The sequence below is a fragment of the Homo sapiens genome, chromosome 12 (genome assembly GCF_000001405.40).
Source record: "Homo sapiens chromosome 12, GRCh38.p14 Primary Assembly".
NCBI classification, from domain to species: Eukaryota; Metazoa; Chordata; class Mammalia; order Primates; family Hominidae; genus Homo; species Homo sapiens.
Window position 1 is genome coordinate 32,698,390 of NC_000012.12, and position 24,576 is coordinate 32,722,965.

At 36.0% G+C, this 24,576-nt stretch overlaps 1 protein-coding gene across 10 annotated transcripts in view; it reads left to right on the forward strand.

Moving 5' to 3' along the window:
* DNM1L (dynamin 1 like) overlaps positions 1–24,576 on the forward strand; it is a 66,350-nt gene that overhangs the window by 19,089 nt on the left and 22,685 nt on the right. For 4 of the 10 annotated variants that reach the window (NM_001278464.2, NM_001278465.2, XM_011520543.4 and 1 more), the window contains exons 2-10: positions 3,026–3,173; positions 7,436–7,474; positions 8,978–9,024; positions 9,764–9,835; positions 12,540–12,626; positions 14,820–14,982; positions 20,254–20,374; positions 22,275–22,406; positions 24,038–24,244. In NM_001278464.2, the coding sequence (NP_001265393.1) occupies positions 3,026–3,173; positions 7,436–7,474; positions 8,978–9,024; positions 9,764–9,835; positions 12,540–12,626; positions 14,820–14,982; positions 20,254–20,374; positions 22,275–22,406; positions 24,038–24,244 (1,016 nt within the window). Of the gene's footprint in view, positions 1–3,025; positions 3,174–7,435; positions 7,475–8,977; positions 9,025–9,763; positions 9,836–12,539; positions 12,627–14,819; positions 14,983–20,253; positions 20,375–22,274; positions 22,407–24,037; positions 24,245–24,576 lie in introns of those variants that run through there. The other 6 variants (NM_012062.5, NM_001278463.2, NM_012063.4 and 3 more) reach the window with 3 other exon arrangements.

The window sequence follows — 24,576 nt, forward strand, 5'->3', positions numbered from 1 at the left end:
GTGTCACTCTTAGTCCTCCTGGTCCTTCCTTTTAGGCTTCGGGGTGATGAGAGCTGTTCTCTTGTTACTAGCCTGGGTTACTGCATTATCCCTTGTGATTTCCTATAAGCCTCACCCACAGCTTTGTAAATAGTCCTTATGTAAATAAACCCTCTTTAAATTAATCTAATTTGAGTGGGCCATCTGCTTCCTGCAGACCCTGTCTGACATAACTGATGAAATTAGGACTTTTGCATTTGTAGAAAATAAATTTTTAAAGTACAAGTTTTGACTAAGAAAAAAATAGAGTACAGAATATACTGTATAGAAAAATAAGTTTATTGCAAACTTAAGAAAAATGGCAAATTTAGAAATTTTTAAAATGTATAATAGAGGTTTATATAGTACTTGATTATTTATCGCATTAGCTGTTAGTATTGATATTTTTGATTATTTAGTAATTGGATATTGGTATTGTATGTATGTTAAATTTCCTGAATGTAAGTGGTGTGGTGGCTGGCTCCTGGAATCCTAGCTACTCGGGAGGCAGAGGTGGCCTGAGGGTCTCTTGAGGCCAGAAGTTAGAGGCTGCAGTGAGCTATGATCACGCCATTGCACTCCAGCCTGAATGGTAGAATGAGACCCCATCTCTTAAAAAAAAAAAAAATCCTGAATGTGATCATTGTATTGTGGTTCTATAGAAGAACGGCCTTGTTCTTAGGAGATGCATGCCACAATGTTTAGAGTGGAGTATCATGATTTCTGTAACTAACTCTCAAATGGGACAGCAAAAGGAAAAAAGTCTTTGTGTGTACATGTAAGGAGAGAGAGACATAAAGTAAATGTGTCAAAATGTTAATAAGTGGTGAATTATGTTAAGATATATGAGTATTCACTGTTACCGTTCTTGCAACTTTTTTTGTGGCATTGAAAATTTCAAAATAAAAAGTTGGAAAATATTTAAAACAACAAAAATTGAAATACTTATTATGGATAAAGAACTTTATTATAAACTAATAAGAAATATATAAAAGGCTAGCATTTGAATAAGCAGATCACTAAAGGAGAAATACAGAAAGCCATTAAAGAAAAGGATGCTTGACCTTAATAATAAAGGAATGTAAATTTAAATGAGCTGTCGGTATCCATCTATCAAAGTAGCAAAGATTCAAAAAACAATGCTTTGGGAGGCTGAGGCGGGCGGATCACTTGAGGTCAGGAGTTTGAAACCAGCCTGGCGCACATGGTGAAACCCTGTCTCTACTAAAAATACAAAACCGCTGGGCGTGGTGTCACACGCCTGTAATCTCAGCTACTTGGGAGGCTGAGGCAGGAGAACTGCTTGAACCTGGGAGGTAGAGGTTGCAGAGAGCCAAGATGGTGCCACTGCACTCCAGCAGCCTGGGCGACAGAGCAAGACTCCATCTCAAAAAAAAAAAAAAAAAAAAAAAGCAATGATGTTTAATACTGATGGAGCTGTAGCAAATTGAACAAACTGGTAACTCTTGGAAGTATAGCTTGATTCCCTCTTCTTTGCAGTCTGGCAGTATCTATGAATGCTTAAAATCTGTATGCTCATTAATAACGGCAATTTAACTTAAATGAACTAAATCTAGTGAGGTAATAAGATAAGTGAGTAAGGTTATATGTATAAGCACATTCATTGCAGCATTGTTAAAAACAGCAAAAACCAAAAACCATCTAAATGCTTATCAGTTCGGGTTTGGTTTTATACATAGTAGAATACTGTTTTAGCTATTTCTTTTTTTTGAGAAGGAGTCTTGCTCTATGCCCAGGCTGGAGTGTAGTGGTGTGACCTCGGCTTACTGCAACCTCCACCTCCCGGGTTCAAGCAATTCTCCTGCCTCAGCCTCCTGAGTAGCTGGGATTACAGGCGCGTGCCACCACACCCAGCTAATTTTTGTATTTTTAGTAGAGACAGGGTTTTGCCATGTTGGCCAGGCTGGTCTCGAACTCCTGACCTCAGATGATCTGCCCGCCTCAGCCTCCCAAAGTGCTGGGATTAACACAGAAGTAGTTAATGTATTGATATGGAACAATATCCCTGATTATTACATTAAAAATAAAAGCAGGTTAGGCCAGGAGCAGTGGTTCATGCCTGTAATCCCAGCACTTGGGAGACTGAGGTGGGAGGATTGCTTGAGCCCAGGAGTTTGAGACAAGCCTAGGCAACATGGCAAAGCCCCACCTTTACAAAATACAAAAATTAGCCAGGTATAGTAGCGCGTGCCTGTAGTCTCAGCTACTGGGAAGGCTGATGTGGGAGGATCACCGGATCCTGGGGAGGTCAAGGCTGCAATAAGCTGTGATCACACCACTGCACTCTAGCCTGGGTAATAGAGTGACACACTGTAATAATAATAATAAAAATAGAAGGTTAGAGAAAAAGATATGCATTACTGTCCCATTTACAGTAAAACAACTACATATTATAGGCATGATTTTATATATACCAATATTGTGTAGGTTTTGAAACCTGGTTGGTGGAGTATCAAAACAGGTGGGATAATTATGGGAAAACAGGGCTGTTATTTTCTGGTTTTGGCTTAAAAACAAATAGATCATGTAATAGGAAATAAAATTATCTTTCATTTAAAAAGTCTGTGGCCGGGCATGGTGGCTTACACCTGTAATCCCAGCACTGGGAGGCTGAGGCAGGTGGATCACCTGAGGTCGGGAGTTCGAGACCAGCCTAATCAACATGGAGAAACCCCGTCTCTACTAAAAATACAAAAAATTAGCCAGGCGTGGTGGCACACGCCTGTAATCCCAGCTACTTGGGAGGTTGAGGCAGGAGAATCGCTTGAACCCGGGAGGCGGAGGTTGCAGTGAGCCGAGATCGTGCCATTGCACTCCAGCCTAGCCAACAAGAGCGAAACTCCGTCTCAAAAAAAAAAAAAAATAGTCTCTGCACTAATTTTTCCTTTAAAATAATTCTGTATGCTGGTTTGTTAATATAGTTTATTGAATTAACAAAAAATGTGTTAAGAAACTCATTTTGCTCTTGTATATATTCTGTTTTCAGAGCAGCGGAAAGAGCTCAGTGCTAGAAAGCCTGGTGGGGAGGGACCTGCTTCCCAGAGGTACTGGAATTGTCACCCGGAGACCTCTCATTCTGCAACTGGTCCATGTTTCACAAGAAGATAAACGGAAAACAACAGGAGAAGAAAATGGTAAATTTCAGATTTGAGATAATTATTTTACAGCTCTTCATTTTTGATCTATTCTTAAAAAGATATGAATTGATTAGATAATTAGAAATTAGTGACTGTAGCATAGTTAGAAGTCCTGTGAGAAGTAGTATGCATCTTTCTTAATGTAAAAAAAAGAGTAGTTTTTGTTTTGTTTTGTTTTTGAGACGGAGGTCTTACTCTGTCGCCCAGGCTGGAGTGCAGTGGTATGATCTTGGCTCACTGCAACCTCCACCTACTGGGTTCAAGCAATTCTCCTGCCTCAGCCTGCCAAGTAGCTGGGATTACAGGCGCCCCCCACCATGCCCAGCTAATTTTTGTATTTTTAGAAGAGACAGGGTTTCACTTTGTTGGCCAGGCTGGTCTCGAACTCCTGACCTCAAGCCATCCGCCCGCCTTGGCCTCCCAAAGTGCTGATCACAAGGCGGGTGGATCACGAGGTCAGAAGTTCGAGACCAGCCTGGCCAATATGGTGAAACCCCGTCTCTGCTAAAAATACAAAAATTAGCCAGATTTGGTGGCACTTGCCTGTAGTCCCAGCTACTCAGGAGGCTGAGGCAGAAGAATCACTTGAACCCAGGAGGCAGAGGTTGCAGTGAGCTGAGATCACGCCACTGCACTCCAGCCTAGGCGACAGAGTGAGACTCCGTCTCAAAAAAAAAAAAAAAAAAAAAGAAGAAAATAGGCATTGTCCTTTATAACCGTTCTTTTTTGATTAAATTGAAAATATATTAGGGAATGCTGTGTCTATCAGCAGATTTTAAGTTGCTTACCAAATATGTATCCTATGTTAATTATACTTATATTAATGAGGTTTGAAATGTTGAATGAGAGTAACGTATTTAATCTTCCTATTTAGTTCAGTATTTGGCTCAGACTTTCTTATTTATAGAACTCTGTAACATAGCTCTAATTATTAAATTACTTTTGCAGCAGAGTACCATATCTGTTTCTTATCTGCAGAGATCTGTTTTCAATGCAGTTTTATTCTACTTCTTATTCTGATTTAAGATGGGATGATAGTTTTGACAAAATTGAACTTATTTTAATTTCTGTGTCTGATTTTTTCATTTACTGTAGGAGCTGTTGGTGGTGATGACTTGAATTTTTTTTTTAATGGGGAAAAAAAACCTCATGAGCATCTGCTATGACTCTAGAATGTTAGTCACTGAAGCAAATTAGTGTAGTTGTAGATGTTGCAAGTAATATTTTTAGATAGACTGCCAGTGGCTATGTGGGAGCCTTTTAATTACATTAGGTAGCTTCTGGGTATGTTATTCATCACTTTGCATTTCTCTAATACTTATTGAAGTTCTGAACCTTGAATTTAATCATGTTGGATTAATCTGGGGTTCACCTTCAAATATATAGAATAACACTTATAAAATTTCATCCCCACTGATTTCATCAAATTTACCAAACATCTGAAACTAAGACCTTAAGACACTATATGATATTAGGTCTTTCTCTCTCTCTCTTTTTTTTTTTTTTAACTTTCCATTTTCTTCTGTCACCTTGAGAGGGCCCATGATATCCTGTCTCTCAGAAACTATTTGAATTGTGGGCAGTGTTTCCTTAGATAAAATTGTGCTTGTTAGAAAAGGGTGTACATTTCAGCTATCGTAGTGTCAGCTCTTTGGTATCTCTTTGTTTTTATGTCCACTATGTTTTGTTGATGTCTCCTCTTAGTGGTTGGTCAGTAAATCTGCCTACCTACTGTTTTTTTCCAAGCTTAGTGCTGATTTTGTATATATATTTGCTTAAAATGACAACTCAACTACCCCAAACACAATATAGATTATATAAATTTGAGTACTAGATTTCACGTGTTTTATTCTAGCATAGACAGTTCGTTAGTTTTTCATCAAAGCTTCTTTATCCTTAGAATAAACAATTCTAGCATATCATAAATCATTCTAACCCAGAGAAAATTAGAAACCATGAAGCAGATAAACAATATAGTTAGCTAGAAGAGTGTGAACTACCTGACAGCCTGATAATAAGAGAGGAGAAAGGGAAGAAACATAAACTTTCAAAAAAAAAAAAAAAAAAGAAATCAGTTACTAACATTTTGTGTAGGGATTTTATTTAGCCAGTGAAGGCTTAGTTACATGACAAAGACCTAGGTTACCAATAGTAGATTCAGAGTAGTACATTCTAAGATGACATGGAGAAGTATAATCCATCTTAGATGTAGCTTCATCAAAACTGGCTAAAGTAAAATATTTTAGTGTTTAATATGTATAATTCAATCATCAGGACATTTATTTAGCATAGGATTCTTCATTCTGTCAACTGTGGGATAACTGAGGTGTCAGTATGTAGATTTATGGTCATCTCAGCTTGCCCCCTACTTCTGCCCATGTAAAAGAATTTTCTGTTAAATTTTTATTAAAAACAATACTAAACTATGTTTTAGAGTAGAGTGGTGGTTCAGTTTGAACAGAACTCCACGGTTATCTTTCATATATTTGTAAGAAATAAATCAAGCTTTCCTCAGCTTTCCTTTGAGACAAAATCCAAAAGTAGCATGCTGATTAAAGGCCAAAATTGTGCTATATATGATACTTCTGAACAGTGTCAGTAGAAATTTGAAAAAAAATGTGAAAAAAAAATTTATTTTGGGGAGAAAAGTTGTTGAACTAAAGCAAAAGTTTTTTGTTTTCTTTTTAAAAAATGCAAACATAGGCCGGGCGCGGTGGCTCACGCCTGTAATCCTAGCACTTTGGGAGGCCGAGGCGGGTGGATCACCTGAGGTCAGGAGTTCGAGACCAGCCTGGCCAACGTGGTGAAACCCCATCTCTACTAAAAATACAAAAATAAGCTAGGTGTGGTGGCGGGTGCCTGTAATCCCAGCTAATCGGGAGGCTGAGGCAGGAGAATCGCTTGAACCCGGGAGGCGGAGGTTGTAGTGAGCCGAGATCGAGCCATTGCACTCCAGCCTGGGCAACAGAGCAAGACTCCGTCTTAAAAAAAAAAAAAAAATGCAAACATACATGTTTCGTAGAATAATGCTTAAAATCTTGGTATAATTTGAAATTTTACCCCCATTTCATTAAGTAACCTATTTGTAAAAGCAATCAGTTGCCCCCCAAAAAGCAGTAAAATTACACATTAGAATTAAAGGAAAAAGATAGGATTAATTTTTCTGCATAGGGTGCTGTGATACACGTAGTAGTCTCCCTTTGGACTGAGTCCACGAAGGTCAAGAGTTAACTTTCTGCAGTGTTCTATTAAATCCAATGTATGTTTCAAATAAAATACCCTTATATAGTCCAGTCTTAGCTAATGGGGCAAATACTTGCATATACTTACCAACTTTTAAGGTTTTGAAAGATGTATTTAGTATATTTTGTAGATTTTTAAAAATCAGGCAATTTATCTTTTCCTGTAGTAGGTTATCAGATATCTCAGGCAAAGTTTTTTTTTTTTTTTTTTTTTTTAAGGCAGAGTCTTGCTCTGTTGCCCAGGCTGGTGTGCAGTGGCACAATGATCTCAGCTCACTGAAACCTCCTGGGTTCAAGCAATTCTCCTGCCTCAGCCTCCTGAGTAGCTGGGATTACAGGCGTGTGCCACTACGCCCAGCTAATTTTTGTATTTTTAGTAGAGACGGGGTTTTGCCATGTTGGCCAGGCTGGTCTTGAACTCCTGACCTCAGGTGATCCGTCTGCCTCGGCTTCTCAAAGTGCTGAGATTAGAAGTGTGAGCCCCACACTTGGCCCAAATTTTTGAATAGTGAATTAATTGTGCTTCATTTGTGTCAGAATTAGAAATAATGGTCACATAACTTTTTTATTAATTTTAAAAATTTAATTTTTATTTTTTAGACTAGTCAAGTGCAGTAGTAAGGCGGGAAAGAGTAGAACAAGGAGTTCCATCTGTAACTGACTGAACAGTCAATTGAGATAACTACCTTCAGACAAGCCAGATATAACTAATTATATTGGAAAGGTTGTTTCCTAAAAATGTTAAAAATAAGTTATGGCAAGCAATATGCTTTGTTTCTATGACTTAAAAATATTATATACATCCCTCTAATTCTAGTTGTATTTTGCACTGCGCAGTGGGATTCTTAATTTTTCTTCTTAGCCACTAACTTTACTTTCGTCAGTAAATTTTGAATAATTGAATGCTATGTGCATTTGAAATGTGATCAGGTTTCTGCACATTTGAATTTTTAATAAGGTTTAAAATTTTAGGGATAAGCACTAAACTTATTCTGTGCTGTTTCTCTTTAACTACAGACCCTGCTACATGGAAAAACTCAAGACACCTTTCTAAAGGTTTCCTTTATCCATTTGCTTTTGACCCTTTTTTTCTCTTATGCCTGCATGTGTGCTTATGTACTATTACAGGCTGTGTGTATTTTTTTTTCTTCCATTTTTATTTGCCCATCCACATTGATTGCAGGTTTTAGTGGTTCTTGTTATTTTTTTTGGCATTGCATCAAAATGCAAGCTTTTTTGGTGGTGAATGTAATTTATTTTATTTTTATTTTTGAAGACATGCTTGTGAAGCCAAGCCTTTTTAAATATAATAAGATAAATTAGAAACAGCTCTTTGGTATGTAGTACTTGCATTTTGTGAGTTCTGTTCACCTAGATTACTCCAGTCCTCCAATGAGACTTCTTGGAAGAAGGTACTAAGCTACAAGTAGGTGAGCATTTTATCTGCAAAAAGGATCCGGTTTTATTTACCTTTATTCCACCAAAGGACCGACTCACTCTTCTGTTTGTCTGAATATCTTATGATCATTTTTATTTAGACCTCAGGAGGCTGATATGCATTATTCAATACACTTATTAAGATATTTTAACCTTCTCTAAATTTGACAAAAGCAAAACAGCTGTGTTTGGAGGAGATAAAGTTAGATTATCTTTCCACAATTAAACAGTTCTAGTTTTTCTGGGAAAAACAGACTATATCTTGCTCTCCAAGTTTTAGACTACTTCACACAGTGCAACAGTGAATCTATTTTCCTTCTTTCAGCAAGTACAAGAGGAACAGACCTATGACTGGAAACTAATGGAGAGTGGCAACTCCTTACGCTGCATATACCAGGGTTCTTGTTTTTCCTTTTCTTCCATTTTATTTCTTTCCTGCCTCCAGTTCCAAGGGAAAACAGTCTTGACCCTGGGGGAAAATCACCTTGAAAGTGTGTGTAAATTACAAAGCAGCTAGCTCTATAATAATGAGAGAGCTCTTTAAAGGAACAGCAAGTTGTGGCTCTACAGGTAACCAACAGGAAACCAAATTTTTAAAAAGAACTGAAGAATTAGCTGTTTCATTGACACATTGTAAAATTTTTCCTTGAGTCATATGTGTACATCTGTTACATATGTTTTTTGCACTACTCAGTGGGATTCTTAATTTTTCTTCTTAGCTACTAACTTTATTTTCGTCAGAAAACTGCTTTTATATGTAAGATTTTCAAAACTAAAGAATATTCCTTTTACTGTAATATAACTACACAAAAAAATATGAAGAGAAATAAACAATTTTATTTGCAAAATCTAGATTTCAACTAGTGGGAAGACCTGTGAGCAGCTCTGCCTGAAGTTGGTCATGTTTTTGAAATACACCATACAATTTTTAAAATATAATTTAGCAGAAAATACAATTTTAGAAAAATATAATTTAGCAGACCTTAAAATACTTGTTAACTTGTACTTAATGGCAAAATTAAATACAAGTTAAGAAGTGTTTTATTATGTTGCCTTTTTGAATTCCTAAAGATAAAAAGTAGTTTCCATAGTTTCCAATAAATGAGTTTTTCTTTTTTCCAGGGGTGGAAGCAGAAGAATGGGGTAAATTTCTTCACACCAAAAATAAGGTAATCACACATGCATATAATGAAGAAATAATGTTGAAAAAAATATATTGTATGAATACTTGATAATTTAGTTTCTAATCATTGGCAATTACGTTATTTTAAAGTAACTATAACTATTCCTTATAAAATAAATCTTAGTAACATTTCTAACCACAATTGTTTATTGGAAAACACTTGAAATTGAGGCCGATTTTCTCTGTGATTTGGTGATTCTTAATTGTTGTGGGATCAGGAAGCTTTGAAAAGTTCGTAATGGCCAGGCATAGTGGCTAATGCAAGTAATCCCAGTACTTAGGGAGGCTAAAGTGGGTGGGTCACTTGAGCCCAGGAGTTCGAGTCCAGCCTAGGCAATATAGGGGGACCCTGTCTCTATAAAAACTAAAAAAAATTAGCCCCGCGTGGTGGCATGCACCTGTAGTCCTAGCTACTTGGAAGGCTGAGTCGGGAGGATGGCTTGAGGATGTGAGGTTGAGGCTGCAGTGAGCCGTGATTGTGCCACTGTACTCCAGTCTGGGTGACAGAGTCAGACCCTCTCTCAAAGAAAAAAAAAAAGCCAAACAGAAAAAAACTCATAAAAAAACTATAAATCCTTAGCTCAGAAAATATGTATACATTAGAATTTTATTTATTTTCTGAAGCAAATACATAGACATCCTTGAAGTATATGGACTCCCCCTCCAGCTTAAGAACTTTTGATCTTATTTTGAATATTATGCTTTTTTATTTCAAAAATTTTTAGCTTTACACGGATTTTGATGAAATTCGACAAGAAATTGAAAATGAAACAGAAAGAATTTCAGGAAATAATAAGGTAGGCATCTTTTTAGAGCTAGAAGGCATAAGCATCAGTAAATATATAATTGAGGTATTCTGTACATAATATGTGAAGGGCATTGTAAATTCCTACTCTTGATCTTAGCCAAAAGGCCGAGAAGCGATGGACATTGTAAATTCATAATGGACTTTGAAACAAATGGAGTATTTTCACAGATATATAGAACTTTGCTTAAAATCCCTTTTCTTTCTTAAAGCTTTCATATAAATCAAATATTTTATTTAGATGTTTATTGTTGTTCCTGTCATGTACATGCCACATTATTATATAATTCTACTTAGTATTGCTACAATAAGTTATCTTTTTCTGATGGATTGATTGTACTCTAACTCAGGAAGCATTGTTTCACTTATATATATATCTTTTGAGGAGTTCTTTTCTTACCTGTGTATGGCTAGATTTGCTTATGAAAGCAAAAAGAGACAAATTGGGAATTTTTTTTTCTTTTTTTTAGTGAAAATGAAAATAATACATTAGCAACTGGTTTTCTTATTTTCTGAGATTGTGAGAATGTGAAGTAAGTTATGTATCTAAGATACTGTTAATCTTGACACTAGGTACTATCACTGCCTTGCCTGAATCCTGCTGTCTTCTGTCTTCTTTATTCCTATTATTTTTCTCTTTATATTTCAAGAGATATATATTATCTCTTGAGATTTTTATTTCCCTTCCTTTTTGTTCTTAGCTCCATTCTTATATTATCCAGAGGCACATTTAATCCCACAAGTGGGCCCTAGCCTAGTACTAATATTCAACAAATATTGAATCCTTGTATCTGCCAGTTACTATGCTAAAAGATTATTTCCTGACAGAAAGGCATTTTTAGAGTCATGTTAACCTTTATGACTGTTCAGGATATTTGTTGCTGTTACAGTGACTGACTGAGCTTTGTTCATTGTTGAACTCTAGGCTGGTTACCTTTGAGCTACTGCTACTGTTGCCATACTTTCCTGAATTTCTAGTAACCATGTTGTATAGAACGGGTTGAAAAAGTGGCCAGAAACTAGATTAGCTTATCGTCATTCCTCTAATTATATCAGGGATATTTTTGGCTTTTGGAATGTTATTGATCATAACATCAGTCTGAATTCTCTCTCCTACAGTCCCCATTTACTTACTGAACTCAGCAATTGGTGGTAATTTTACACAGTACCAGAATTTAGAGTGTTGTGATGATTCAGAAATGTTTTTAGTTACACTAAACTGAATGTCATTGAAGATTGAGTCTATACCTACAAGATGTTTAATTTATGTTGAGGATATAATTTACTTACCTAGCAGCTTTTCATCCACAGTGTCTAAAAGATGAAAAGTCCCCCAACCCCAAATCTATGAAACATCTCTTCTTTCCCAAATCACGTATGTAATGAAGTAAATGATATTTTGATCTTATATAATTTTTATGTCAAAATATGTAAATGACTGCATATGCCTAACATATAGCCCTGAAGGATTTAAAATGTCTGTGAGTTTGGAGTTGCAAAGGTACTGGGCAGAGCTTTGTATTGGACTGATAGGGGAATGCCATGGCAATAAAGATCCTGAGAAATATACAACCTAAGTAGGTATGCCAGATAGTGACATTTGTTGGCTTTGGAACACTGGAGTATTTATAATGGAAAAATAGCACAGAGTAATCTAAAATAGCAAATATAATTGTATAGGGAATGTGGAGTAAAGGATATTAAAAACTTGCTGGGAAATTAGAATTTTCAGTGGGCTAATGAGGGAAAACATAAGGTAGTTAAACAGGTGATGAGAGGATATATTAAAGGCTAAAGAAGGGCATGTACAAAGACAGGGTATAAACATCTCATAAGTGTCTTTTTACATGTAGTTGATTCAATCCTAATACTTGTAGAGGGCCAGTGGTGAAGAGGAGGGAGCCTACGCAGTATTCTTAGTCTGCAGGAGAGAAAATACACGTTACCTCTCACTATCCAAATTCTTACTAGAGATTAAAGAGTTAGATAAACTTCTTGAGAAATCTCTTACTGTACACATTCTTGCCACTTGATATTCAAAGATCAGGAACCAGGCTGATTTGGACAACTTGTTATCTACGCCTTACTCTCTGAACTCGGAACCTCATAAATTTGGATAGTGAGGAATACATTATTCTTTTATTCAGCACTAAATCTATTAAACATATTTAAGGAATGGCATATGCCAGCCTGGGCAACATTGTAATACCCGGTCTCTACAAAATATAAACAAGAAATTATCTGGACATGGTGGTGCACACCTTGTAGTCCCAGCTACTCAGGAGGCTAAGGCAAGAGATTGCTTGAGCCCAGGATTTTGAGGCTGCAGTGAGCCATGATTGCACCACTGCACTCCAGCCTGTGTGACAGAGTGAGACCTTGTCTCAAAAAAAAAAAAAAAAGAAAGCAAAGGAAAAATTTATGTTTATAATCAAGAGAAAAGAATGTAAAATAATACATGGTATATAATACATGTACATATAACATGATACAGGGATAGAAGTAGGATTATAACCTGTTAATATGGCTGGCTACCTGACTTCCCATGTGTTTCATCAGGTTTTGATTGTTAAAAAAAAGTTTTAGGAATCATGATTTAATTCATTTTTAAAAGCATTAATGTCTATGTACTTGAAATGAAGTTTATTACTTCATAGTTCATTGAAATTTTAATATATTTTAAAATTTATTTTTAGGGAGTAAGCCCTGAACCAATTCATCTTAAGATTTTTTCACCCAACGTTGTCAATTTGACACTTGTGGATTTGCCAGGAATGACCAAGGTAAGGAAGGAATAGTTGTAGATTTGGTCAGGTTGTTTTCACTTCGTTGACATCCCATATGAGAATAATCAGCTTCTTTTTGCAATCACTTTGATCTGTTAGCAGCATTTGATAACGTTGAGCCCTCCTTTCTCCTTGAAACACTTTCTTTACTTGGCTTCCAGGATACCACACTCTACAGGTTTATCTCCAGTCTCACTGGCCACTCCTTTTCAGTCTCTTTTGCTGTTTCTTCTCATCTCCCCAATGTCTAAACAGTAAGTGCCCCAGAGCTCAGTTTATGGAACTCTCGTTTTCTCTAGGTACACTTTCCCTTTGATGATTTCATCAGATTTTATGGCTTTAACTACGTAAGGCTCTGTATATTGACGGCATTCAAATATCTCCAGACTTGTATATCTAGTTGCTATTCGACATATACACTTAAATGTCTAATAGACATTTCAAACTCTAATACCGAATTCCTGACCTGTTCCTCAACTAGATTTGGTATTTCTATAGTCTTCCCCCATCGCAATAAATGGCAACTCATGCCATTTATTGGCAACTCATAAAAAAGCTGAGTTGATTTTTAATTGTTAGTTCCTTGGCCATCTCTGTTTGGTGCAGTGGCTTATCCTGTAATCCCAGCACTTTGGGAGATCAAGGTGGGAGGAATTCTTTGAGACCAGGAGTTTGAGACCAGCCTGGGCAACATAGGGAGACCACGTCTCTACAAAAAATACAAAAATTAGTCGGGCATGGTGGTGCACACATGTAGTCCCAGCTGAGGCAAGAGGATTGCTTGAGCCTAGGAATTTGAGGCTACGGTGAGCTATGATTGCATCACTGCACTCCAACCTGGCCAACAGAGTGAGACCCTGTCTCTAAATAAATAAATAAATGGCAACTCCATTCTACCAATTGCTTAGCCAGAGTTTGTAGTCATCCTTGACACTAATTTATCCCACATTCCACTTCCTGCCAGCAAATCCTCTTGGCTCTTCCTACCTTTACAGTATATCCAGAACTCAATCGTGTTTTATAAATTCATATTTACTGTCCTGATCTAGCCACTATCATGCTACCTGGATTACTGCACAATAATCAATAATAGGTCGTCCTTGTGATCTCATCTTAGTAGACAGTGATACGATTAAAGTGAAAATTCGATTGTGTCATTTCTTGGCTCAAAACTTCTCCAGTTCCTTGTCATTCCTTGACTTAAAACCTCTCCCATTTCACTAAAAGCCCAAGTTATTACAGAGGTCTAAAATATCTACTTGTTACGTCCCTATTCTTCTCCTAACTCCTGTTGCTTCAGCCTCCTGCCCTTATTGTTCACTCTCTTTGGAATTTCTTCCCCCAGATGTCTGTATGTTATTGCTCCCTTATTGGCTTAATTTCTGCTCATTCTCTTAAGTGTCAGTTGTCTCAGTGAAGTTTCCCTGATTACTCTATTTAAAAACATAATCCAATTTAAAACATTAAAATCATAATCCTAATGGCCAGGTGCAGAGTGGCTTATGCTTGTAGTTCTAGCACTTTGGGAGGCTGAGGCAGGAGGATCATTTGAGCCCAGGAGTTTGAAGATACAGTGAGCTATGATCGCACCACTGCACTCCAGCCTATGTGATAGAGTGAGACCCTGTCTCAAAAAAAAAAAAAAAAAAAAAAAAAAAAAGAAAAAAATCATCTCTAATCATTCCCTAGCCTGCTGTTCTGCCTTATTTTCCCACAGCCCTTACCACCATCTGTATACTATATATATGTTTTTGTTTATTATATGCGTGTTATTACTAAAACATAAGTTCTACGAAGGCAGAAAGTTTGGTCTTTTTAAAATTCACTACTGTAACATAATCTGACATGACCTGAAATCACGTTCAGAAAAGTGCCTAAAATAGAGTAGGCTGCCAGTAAACACTTGGTAATTGAATGAATGAGTGAATGAATTTGTATCTAGCCAATCAACATTGACCAGTTCTTAACATGGGACTGTATTAAATCAACTTTTGATATTTGCAAGAGTTACACTTTGAGACTTGACACATTACCAGATTCATAAATACCATTGTAGTATATTAGTAATGTCTTTATTTTTATTTTAACTATTTTTAAATGGATATACCTATATTCTATCGATTAAATGTGGGTAAAAAAGCTGAGTTGATTTTTAATTATTAGTTCCTTGCTCATCTCTGTTTGGTTTAGGTGCCTGTAGGTGATCAACCTAAGGATATTGAGCTTCAAATCAGAGAGCTCATTCTTCGGTTCATCAGTAATCCTAATTCCATTATCCTCGCTGTCACTGCTGCTAATACAGATATGGCAACATCAGAGGCACTTAAAATTTCAAGAGAGGTAGATCCAGATGGTAAGGACAGATGTTAATTTAATGAGATGCTTATTTTACAATGGTAAATCTACCCTTGAGAAAGGAATTTTTCTCTTTAAAAACAGTATCTCTGGTTTTGAATACAAATTTAAAAGATAATGCTTTCCTATTTTTGTTTATAAAAATAGAAATTCTGATGGAAAATAAGGTTATTAAGTTGCTATACAGACTAGGCGAAAATATTTTACAACTTTATTTGTAATGGTTACCTAATAATTTAAAAATAATACGGTGGCTTTGCAAAAAGGATTTCTTGTTTTGTGACCTAGGTATTTGAATAGTTGACTTTTAAGAATAAATAACATAGCCAGGTGTGGTCACATGTGCCTGCCGTCCCAGCTACTCAGAAGGCTGAGATGGGAGCATTGCGTGAGGCCAGGAGTTCAAAGTCAGCCCGGGCAACATAGACTCTGTCTGTTAAAAAAAACCAAAACACAGTAGGTAATCATTGTAGATTATTATGGTACAGTAGAGAATTATGGTATCTACATTCTGCAGAGGTAGATAATATTTAGACATGCTCAAGGCACAGGGGATTTTTAGAAATGAAGGTAAAATCCTTTCATGAAGCATTTTAGCCCCAAGGATTAGTTCATACTGTGGGTCACTGATGCTTGACTAATGATGTAGTGCACATCTCATAGTATATATAAAATGCTAGCTTGTAAGAGAGTGGTTACTATTGTTGCTAACAAATGTATGCATGGCCTCATATAGAAACCATTTTTTTCACCTTACTATTCAGAGGGTCTGAAGGTTGTGTCATGTTTTTCTTTCCCTGCTTTGAAGAATAATTTCAAATAAAAATTTGATAGGAAATAGTGCTAAGACTGCCAATCTGCCAATAAAAATTCCCATAAGCAGGGTCACTTTAACAATTTTTTTTTTTTTTTTTTTTGAGATGGAGTCTTGCTCTATCTCCCAGGCTGGAGTGCAGTGGCGCGATCTCGGTTCACTGCAAGCTCTGCCTCCCGGGTTCACGCCATTCTCCTGCCTCAGCCTCCTGAGTAGCTGGGACTACAGGCGCCTGCCACCACGCCTGGCTAATTTTTTGTATTTTTAGTAGAGACGGGGTTTCACCGTGTTAGCCAGGATGGTCTCGATCTCCTGACCTCGTGATCCGCCCGCCTCGGCCTCCCAGAGTGCTGGGATTACAGGTGTGAGCCACCGTGCTTGGCCCCAATATTTTATATTTCAAGTTTTTAAGAAACTCTTTTTTACCACTTGAGTAAATAATGTTCATTTCAGTTAAATTAAAAGATAAACTATATCAAAGAGTTTATTTACATTTTATTTTTATTATTTAAAGTAGACTGGGCTCAGTGGCTCATGCCCGTAATACCAAGCACTTTGGGAGGCCAAGGTGGGTGGATCACTTGAGCTCAGGAGTTCGAGACCAGCCTGGGCAGCAAAGTGAGAGCCCCATCTCTATTAAAAAAAAAAAACCACAAAAAACAATTAGCTGGGTATGGTGGCACTGGGCTGTGGTCCTAGCTACTTGGGATGCTGAGGTGGGAGGATGGCTTGAGCCCGGGAGGCAGAGGTTGCAGTGAGCCGAGATCATGCCATTGCACTCTTGCCTGGGCTCAGAGCCAGACCTTCGTAAAAAACAAACAAAAACCTGTTAAGCATTTTATATGTATAAACTCTATTTTAAACTGACCCTTGAGCCATAGATATTGTCATATTTTTAATCTAATCTTTTTTTTTTTTTTTTGGATGTAGGGTCTCACTCTGTTGCCCAGGCCTGGAGTGCAGTGGCACAATCATGCCTCACTGCAAACTTGCAGTCCTGGGCTCAAGTGATCTTCCCACCTCAGTCTCCCAAAGTGTTGGGATTGCAAGAGTGAGCCACTGCACCTGGTTTGATTACTAATCATAATCTAGTAATACATCATAAGGAAATAATCCAGCCCAGTATTATTTATAGTATAAAAAATTAGAAACAACTTAATATGGCCAGCAGTTGGAAAGATTAAGTAAATTATAATAATAAAATATGAAATAATTAAAAAGGATGATTTTGTAGATTTGTAGCAGTACAGAAAAATGCTTGTAGGCTGGGCATGGTGGCTCACACTTGTAATCCCAGCACTTTGGGAGGCTGAGGTGAGCGGATCGCTTGAGACCAGAAGTTCCAGAGCAGCCTGACCAACATGGTGAAACCCCATCTCTCTAAAAATACAAAAATTAGCCAGGCATGGTGGTGCATGCCTGTAGTCCCAGCTACTGGGGAGGCTGAGACATGAGAATCACTTGAACTGTGGAGGCGAAGGTTACAATGAGCCGAGATTGTGCCACTGCATTTCAGCCTGGACAACAGAGTAGGACAGTCTCAAAAAAAAAGAAAAATGCTTGTAACTGAAAAATACCATAGGTAAAATTGTACACTATGCAGAGCAGTTGGAACTCTCACACGTTGCTGGTGGGAGTGGTGTAGTCATTTTGGGAAACAGTCTGGCAGTTTCTTATAAAGTTAAATTAGCAGTCCCGTTCCTAGGTGTTTAACCATGTTAAGTGAGAACCAGTGTTCATATAAAAAACTATATGCAAATGTCTACAGCAGCTTTATTCATAATTTTCAAAAACTAGAAACAACTCACATATTCCTCAGATGGGGAGTGAAACTAAAGTATGGTACATTCCATACAATGGGACACTACTCTGCAATAAAAAGGAATGGACTATTAATATACAAGAACACGGATGAATCTCAAATGCATTATGCTAAATGAAAGAAGCCAGACTCAAAAGGTTATGTACTATCTGATTTCGTTTATATAACACTCTAGAAAAGGCAAAACTAGGAATGGAAAACTGGTTTGATTGGTTAGCATAAGAAAATTTGGTGGGGGGGGGTGGCAATGTCTTGAGTTGGTTGTGACATATCTCTTGGCATTTGTCAAAACTCTTAGAACTGTACACCAAAAAAGAGTAAATATTTTTATTTTTTGTTTATTGAGACAGGGTCTCATTCTGTTGCCCAGGGTGGAGTGCAGTGGTGCAATCACGGCTCACTGCAGCCTTGACCTGGGCTCAGGTGATTCTCCCACCTCAGCCTCACCTGTAGCTAGGACTACCACACCCTGCTACGTTTTCTATTTTTTGTAGAGACAGAGTTTCACCACTTTGCCCAGACTGGTCTCGAACTCCTGGGCTCAAGCAATCTGTCTGCCTTGGCCTTCCAAAGTGTTAGGATTACAGGCATGGGCCATATCACCTGGATGTAAATTTTATACAGATTTTTGAAATGCTTACAAAATAGCCCTAAGAGTCAACAAAAAATTACATGTGAAAAAAATCTATTTTATATATATACTATATATAGAGTATATATACACTATATATAGTATATATATATATATATATATAGTAACTGAAAATACCATAGGTATTTCACTACCCATCTGAGAAATATGTGAGTTGTTTCTAGTTTTTGAAAATTATGAATAAAGCTGCTGTAGATATTTGCATATAGTTTTTTATATGAACACTGGTTCTCACTTAACATGGTTAAACACCTAGGAATGGGACTGCTAATTTAACTTTATAAGAAACTGCCAGACTGTTTCCCAAAATGACTACACCACTCCCACCAGCAACGTGTGAGAGTTCCAACTGCTCTGCATAGTGTACAATTTTACCTATGGTATTTTTCAGTTACAAATATATATACATAGGTATATATATATATTTTATATATATATTTTATATATTTATATATATTTTATATATATACCTATGTATATATATTTGTAACTGAAATATATATACTATAAAATATATATAGTATATACTATATATATTTATATATACTATAAAATATATAGTATATATTATATATATTTTATATATAGTATATATAGTATATATATACTATATATTATATATACACTATATATTTTATATATACTATATATTATATATACACTATATATTTTATATATACTATATATTATATATAGTATATATAATATATATACTATATATAATATATAGTATATATAATATATAATATATATTTTAAATATATACTATATATATTTTAAATATATACTATATATATTTTAAATATATAGTATATATATTATATATATATAGTATATATATATATTTTAGACGGAGTCCTGCTCTGCATAGTGTACAATTTTACCTATGGCATTTTTCAGTTACAAATATATATACCTAGGTAGATATATATATAAAAAATACATATACCTAGGTAGATATATATATAAAAAATACATATACCTAGGTAGATATATATATAAAAAATACATATACCTAGGTAGATATATATATAAAAAATACATATACCTAGGTAGATATATATATAAAAAATACATATACCTAGGTAGATATATATATAAAAAATATATATACCTAGGTAGATATATATATTTGTAACTGAAATATATATACTATAAAATATATATAGTATATACTATATATATTTTATAAATATACTATATATAGTATATACTATATATATTTATATATACTATATATAGTATATATATAAAATATAGTATATATTTTATATATATATAAAATATAGTATATATAGTATATATATTATATATAGTATATATAGTATGTATAGTATATATAATATATATAGTATATATATTATAAATATATACTATACATACTATATATACTATACATATTTTATATATATACTATACATATTTTATATATATACTATATATATTTTATATATAATATAGTATATATATTTTATATGTATAGTATATATATATATTTTAGATGGAGTCCTGCTCTGTCACCCAGGCCGAAGTGCAATGGCACGATCTCAGCTCACTGCAACCTCTGCCTCTCGGGTTCAAGCAATTCTCCTGCTTCAGCCTCCCGAGCAGCTGGGATTACAGGCGTCTGCCACTGTGCCTGGCTAATTTTTGTATTTTTAGTAGAGATGGGGTTTTACCATGTTAGTCAGGCTGGTCTCAAACTCCTGATCTCAGGTGATCCACCCGCCTTGGCCTTCCAAACTGCTAGAATTACAGGTGTGAGCCACCGTGCCCGGCAAAAATGTTTTAAAAAATTATACACAATGTTTAACATTATTTTTAAAAAAGCACTGGTAAGTAAGGCATTACCAAAATGATGACAGAGGTAATACTAAGTGGGATTGTAGATGAGGGTTTTCCTTTATTAACACTAAATAGTTGTATTTAATGGATCATTTTCTTTCTTTTCTTTGCCCTTTTTTCTTTTTGCATTTACCAGGTCGCAGAACCCTAGCTGTAATCACTAAACTTGATCTCATGGATGCGGGTACTGATGCCATGGATGTATTGATGGGAAGGGTTATTCCAGTCAAACTTGGAATAATTGGAGTAGTTAACAGGTTAGCAGTTAGAATGGGATAAGAATTGGGATAAGCATTCTTAGAATGGGATAAGCATTCTCACTTCAGAGCAAGTCTGAATTTCTAAAATCTGTTTGAAATGTGATGCTGTACTATATTTTTTCTCCCTTTTATTATGATCTTGGTATTGCTAAAGAATCCGTTGCCCTAAAGGGAGAAAAGAGAGAGAATTTTTTTTTTTTTTTGAAATAGGGTCTCTCTCTGTTGCCTAGGCTGGAATGCAGTGGCGTGATTGTGGCTCATTGTAGCATCAACCTCTGGGCTCAAGTGATCCTTTCACTTCAGCCTTTCAAGTAGCTGAGACTATAGGTGTGTATCACCACACCTGGCTAATTTTAAATTTTTTTGTAGTGACAAGGTCTTGCCATGTTGCCCAGGCTTGTCTCGACTTCCTGGGCTCAAGCAATCCTCCAACCTTGGTTTCCCAGGTGCTGGGATTACAGGCATGAGCCACTGTGCCTGCCCCATAGACATTTTTACTGGAAAATGTTTCTAAAGTAAGCAATACCACAAAATGGAAGAAATGTTGTAATAGCCAGGCTTTAAGAATTCTTGCCTATCATGTTAAGCTATGTATGAGGAGGTACTGGGTAAGGGAAAAATTATCTAATGTGCACCCAATCGAGAAAGAGTTTAAGGTGGCAGGATTTTAATAGATTGGTTTTAATCCCTGGCATTAGTGATGCTTCTGTGTAATTGCCAGGATGTGACTTGGAGAAATTGTATTAAAGGTATCCTAATTTATAAATAGTTGGTATTAAAAACTGGGAAAAGGAAACTAGTATTGAGTGTCTAATTAAAGGTGACAAGATTTTAATAGATTGGTTTAATCCCTAGCATTAGTGATTCTGTGTAATTGCCAGGATGTGACTTGGAGAAATTTTATTAAAGGTATCCTAATTATAAATAGTTGGTATTAAAAATCGGGAAAAGGAAATTATTATTGAGTGTCTAATTACGTTTTAGACACTCTACTGTGAGCAATTTGCAAATGGTATCTCTTGGAATCCTCACAGCATCCCCTGAGGTAGGTGTTGATGTCTATTTTATAATCAGAAACCTCAGGTTATACATTTAACCAAAAGTCACGTGGGTAGTGAAAGAGCTGGATTCGGATGAATATCTCTTTTAGTCCAAAGCCTTCATATGGTAGGAAACACTGAAATTATCATGAAATCTGAGTTATAGTCCTAGTTCTTACATAAACTAGATACAACGTAGGTTTAAATGACACCTAATGTCTTTGGGTCTCAAGCCTTTAGAAAATGAAAATGTTTTTACTGCCTGATACATAAGATCCATTCCAGTTGTCTGCTTCTATTTTAATGTCCTTCCATTCCAACCCTACTGTCATTCTCCCATCCCCACTGTCATTCTCCCATCCCCACTCCCAATTCCAGCTGTCTCCTTTTTCAGGTAAGGAGGTGGCCTAACACTGTTCGTTGTTTGTAGATGATTGTTCTTCAAGTTAACTTAATTATTTTTGGGAGAAATTAGTTCCCTGTCCATGGATAAAATATACAGTTGACTAAGATACTCTTATATTTTTATACCTGTCTATACCTGTTACTTATTGTTTTTGTCTATAGTTAATGGTAATAATGAGGCCTACTCTATTTAGGCACTAGTTACTTACAATTCACTTAGTTCAAGTCTTGGCTATGCCAGTTAGTGTGTGACCTGGGGTAAGTTAGTTTTTGTGAGCCTCAGTTCCTTGCTATACAATGGGGTAATAATACCTGCCACATAAAATTATTGTGAGAATTAAATAAAACAGTCCCTGTCAGGTATTAGAGAACAATGCCTGGTGCTGTCATCATCTAAGGTAGGAAGAGGACAACAGTTAAGCTGAATAGTTTCGTTATTTTTTCAACCTCAGGAGCCAGCTAGATATTAACAACAAGAAGAGTGTAACTGATTCAATCCGTGATGAGTATGCTTTTCTTCAAAAGAAATATCCATCTCTGGCCAATAGAAATGGAACAAAGTATCTTGCTAGGACTCTAAACAGGTAATTTTTTTACCTTTTGGAAATGAGATGTGTTTGTTTTTACCAATTGGTGTCTGAGAGGGTTCATTTTCAGTTCCTTACATTTTCATACTGTTCCTAACAGCTTCACTTATGGTTTCTTATATAGTAGGTTCCTGAAGAGTAGATGTCTCTGTTTTTATTGGGGTGGTTGACATTACATCATCACGTAGTCTAGAATGAATGTACAAGTGATTTTAAAATGTTTTAATTACGAAAATTTTGACAGTTAATTTAGTTTTGTGGCTAGAACTAGAGATGACTTCATTTCCACTTTGCATTTCAGGAACTGATTAAAATTTGTAATTTTCACATTATCTATTCTTACCTTAGAATGTGTTTTATTTACCAGGAAAGGGAGATGGAAAAACAAAGAAATAGAATGTCTTTTATTTCTATTCACTGTAGAAATAACTATACGTTGGATTCTGAATACCCACTGATGTGTGGGGACTAGAAGCCCTTTCTAGATGATTTATAAATGACTGAAGTGGAAGCCATTTTCTCTTACTTTTATCTTATTCCCTAAAGACTGATAGACTTGGATCTTAATAAGGTTGATTTTCACTTTGCTGGGTACCAATTGTAAATGACAAGTCAATGAAACCAAAATTATATAGGAAGAATTGATTGGGTGGCTTATTTTCTCTGTGGTAATTGCAGTAATATGAAAATAATTTGCATTTTTTCCTTGCTTTTATTATTTAGGAAAAACCAATCAAAATTGTTTTTTTCCTTTTCACACACAGTTAATCAGTATAGCACAGAATGCTTTTGAGAGCAGATATATGGGGAGTTTTCCCCATACATCAAGCAAGGAATTCTCCAGGGGATTCTAGCTGAATGTCCTTTAATTCAATGCTAACACTGTTTACCTGGAGATAGTGTCAGCGCCCACAGGTTGAGGGTTCAGTCCCACAAGACTGCCCCCAAGTCAGATGCCAGTTGTAAGCACAGGTTGTAGCCTGTGTTTCTGACTGACAGGCTATAAGTCAGGGTACCCATGATCCCCTTTTCATGTTTGATGAATTTGTTAGAGTGGCTCACAGAGGTCAGGGAAACACTACTTAGCATATACCCACTTACTGTAAAGCATATTACAAAGGATATAGATAAATAGCCAGATGAAGAGATGCACAGGGCTGGGCATGTGGGAAGGAATGTGGAGCTTCCGTGCCCTCTCTGGGCACACCACACTCCAGGAACCTTCATGTGTTCAACTCTCTGAAGACTCCATGAACTGTGTCCTTTTGAGTTTTTATGGAAGCTTCATTGGCCATTGGTGATCAGCTCAATGTTTGGCCTCTCTCCTCTCTTCTGAGGCTGTTCTGGTGACCAGCTCCCATCCTGAAGCTATCTAGGGACCCCCAGCCACCAGTCATCTCATTAGCATGCAGAGACACTCTAAACACCCTTAATGCTCTTGGAGAGTCCAAGGATTTTAGGAGCTGACTGCCAGGAAATGAAGACAAAGACCAAATATATATTTCACAGTATCACATTTGCCAGGACAAATTATTTGATAGGTTTTCCCCATTGTAAAAATTTGACTTGTTTAGGGCTTTAGAATACACAATTTTACTTTTAAATCCTTCCTTTCTAACCTTTTTTAGGTTACTGATGCATCACATCAGAGATTGTTTACCAGAGTTGAAAACAAGAATAAATGTTCTAGCTGCTCAGTATCAGTCTCTTCTAAATAGCTACGGTGAACCCGTGGATGATAAAAGTGCTACTTTACTCCAACTTATTACCAAATTTGCCACAGAATATTGTAACACTATTGAAGGAACTGCAAAATATATTGAAACTTCGGAGCTGTAAGTAAGAAATTTTTCTGTAGATTTGGTTACCTAGATTGCTAGGTCACTTTTCCTTTTGTGAAGATGACTTCAGCTCAGATTATCTGATTAAGATTTATTTTCTATAAAACAAAAATATAACTTTGTAGAGATAATAGGATGATGTCTGGTTGTGTGAAAATATGCTTTGTAAATGATATAAAGCAAAGTAAAATTGTCACATATTTTTAAATATTTTAATATTTTATAAGTATTTACTTATTTTTATAAGTATTTAATAAGTATTAAATATTTTAATAAGTATTTAAAAATAATTTAGCTTTTAAAGTGTTTGTTTCTTTAGTACACAC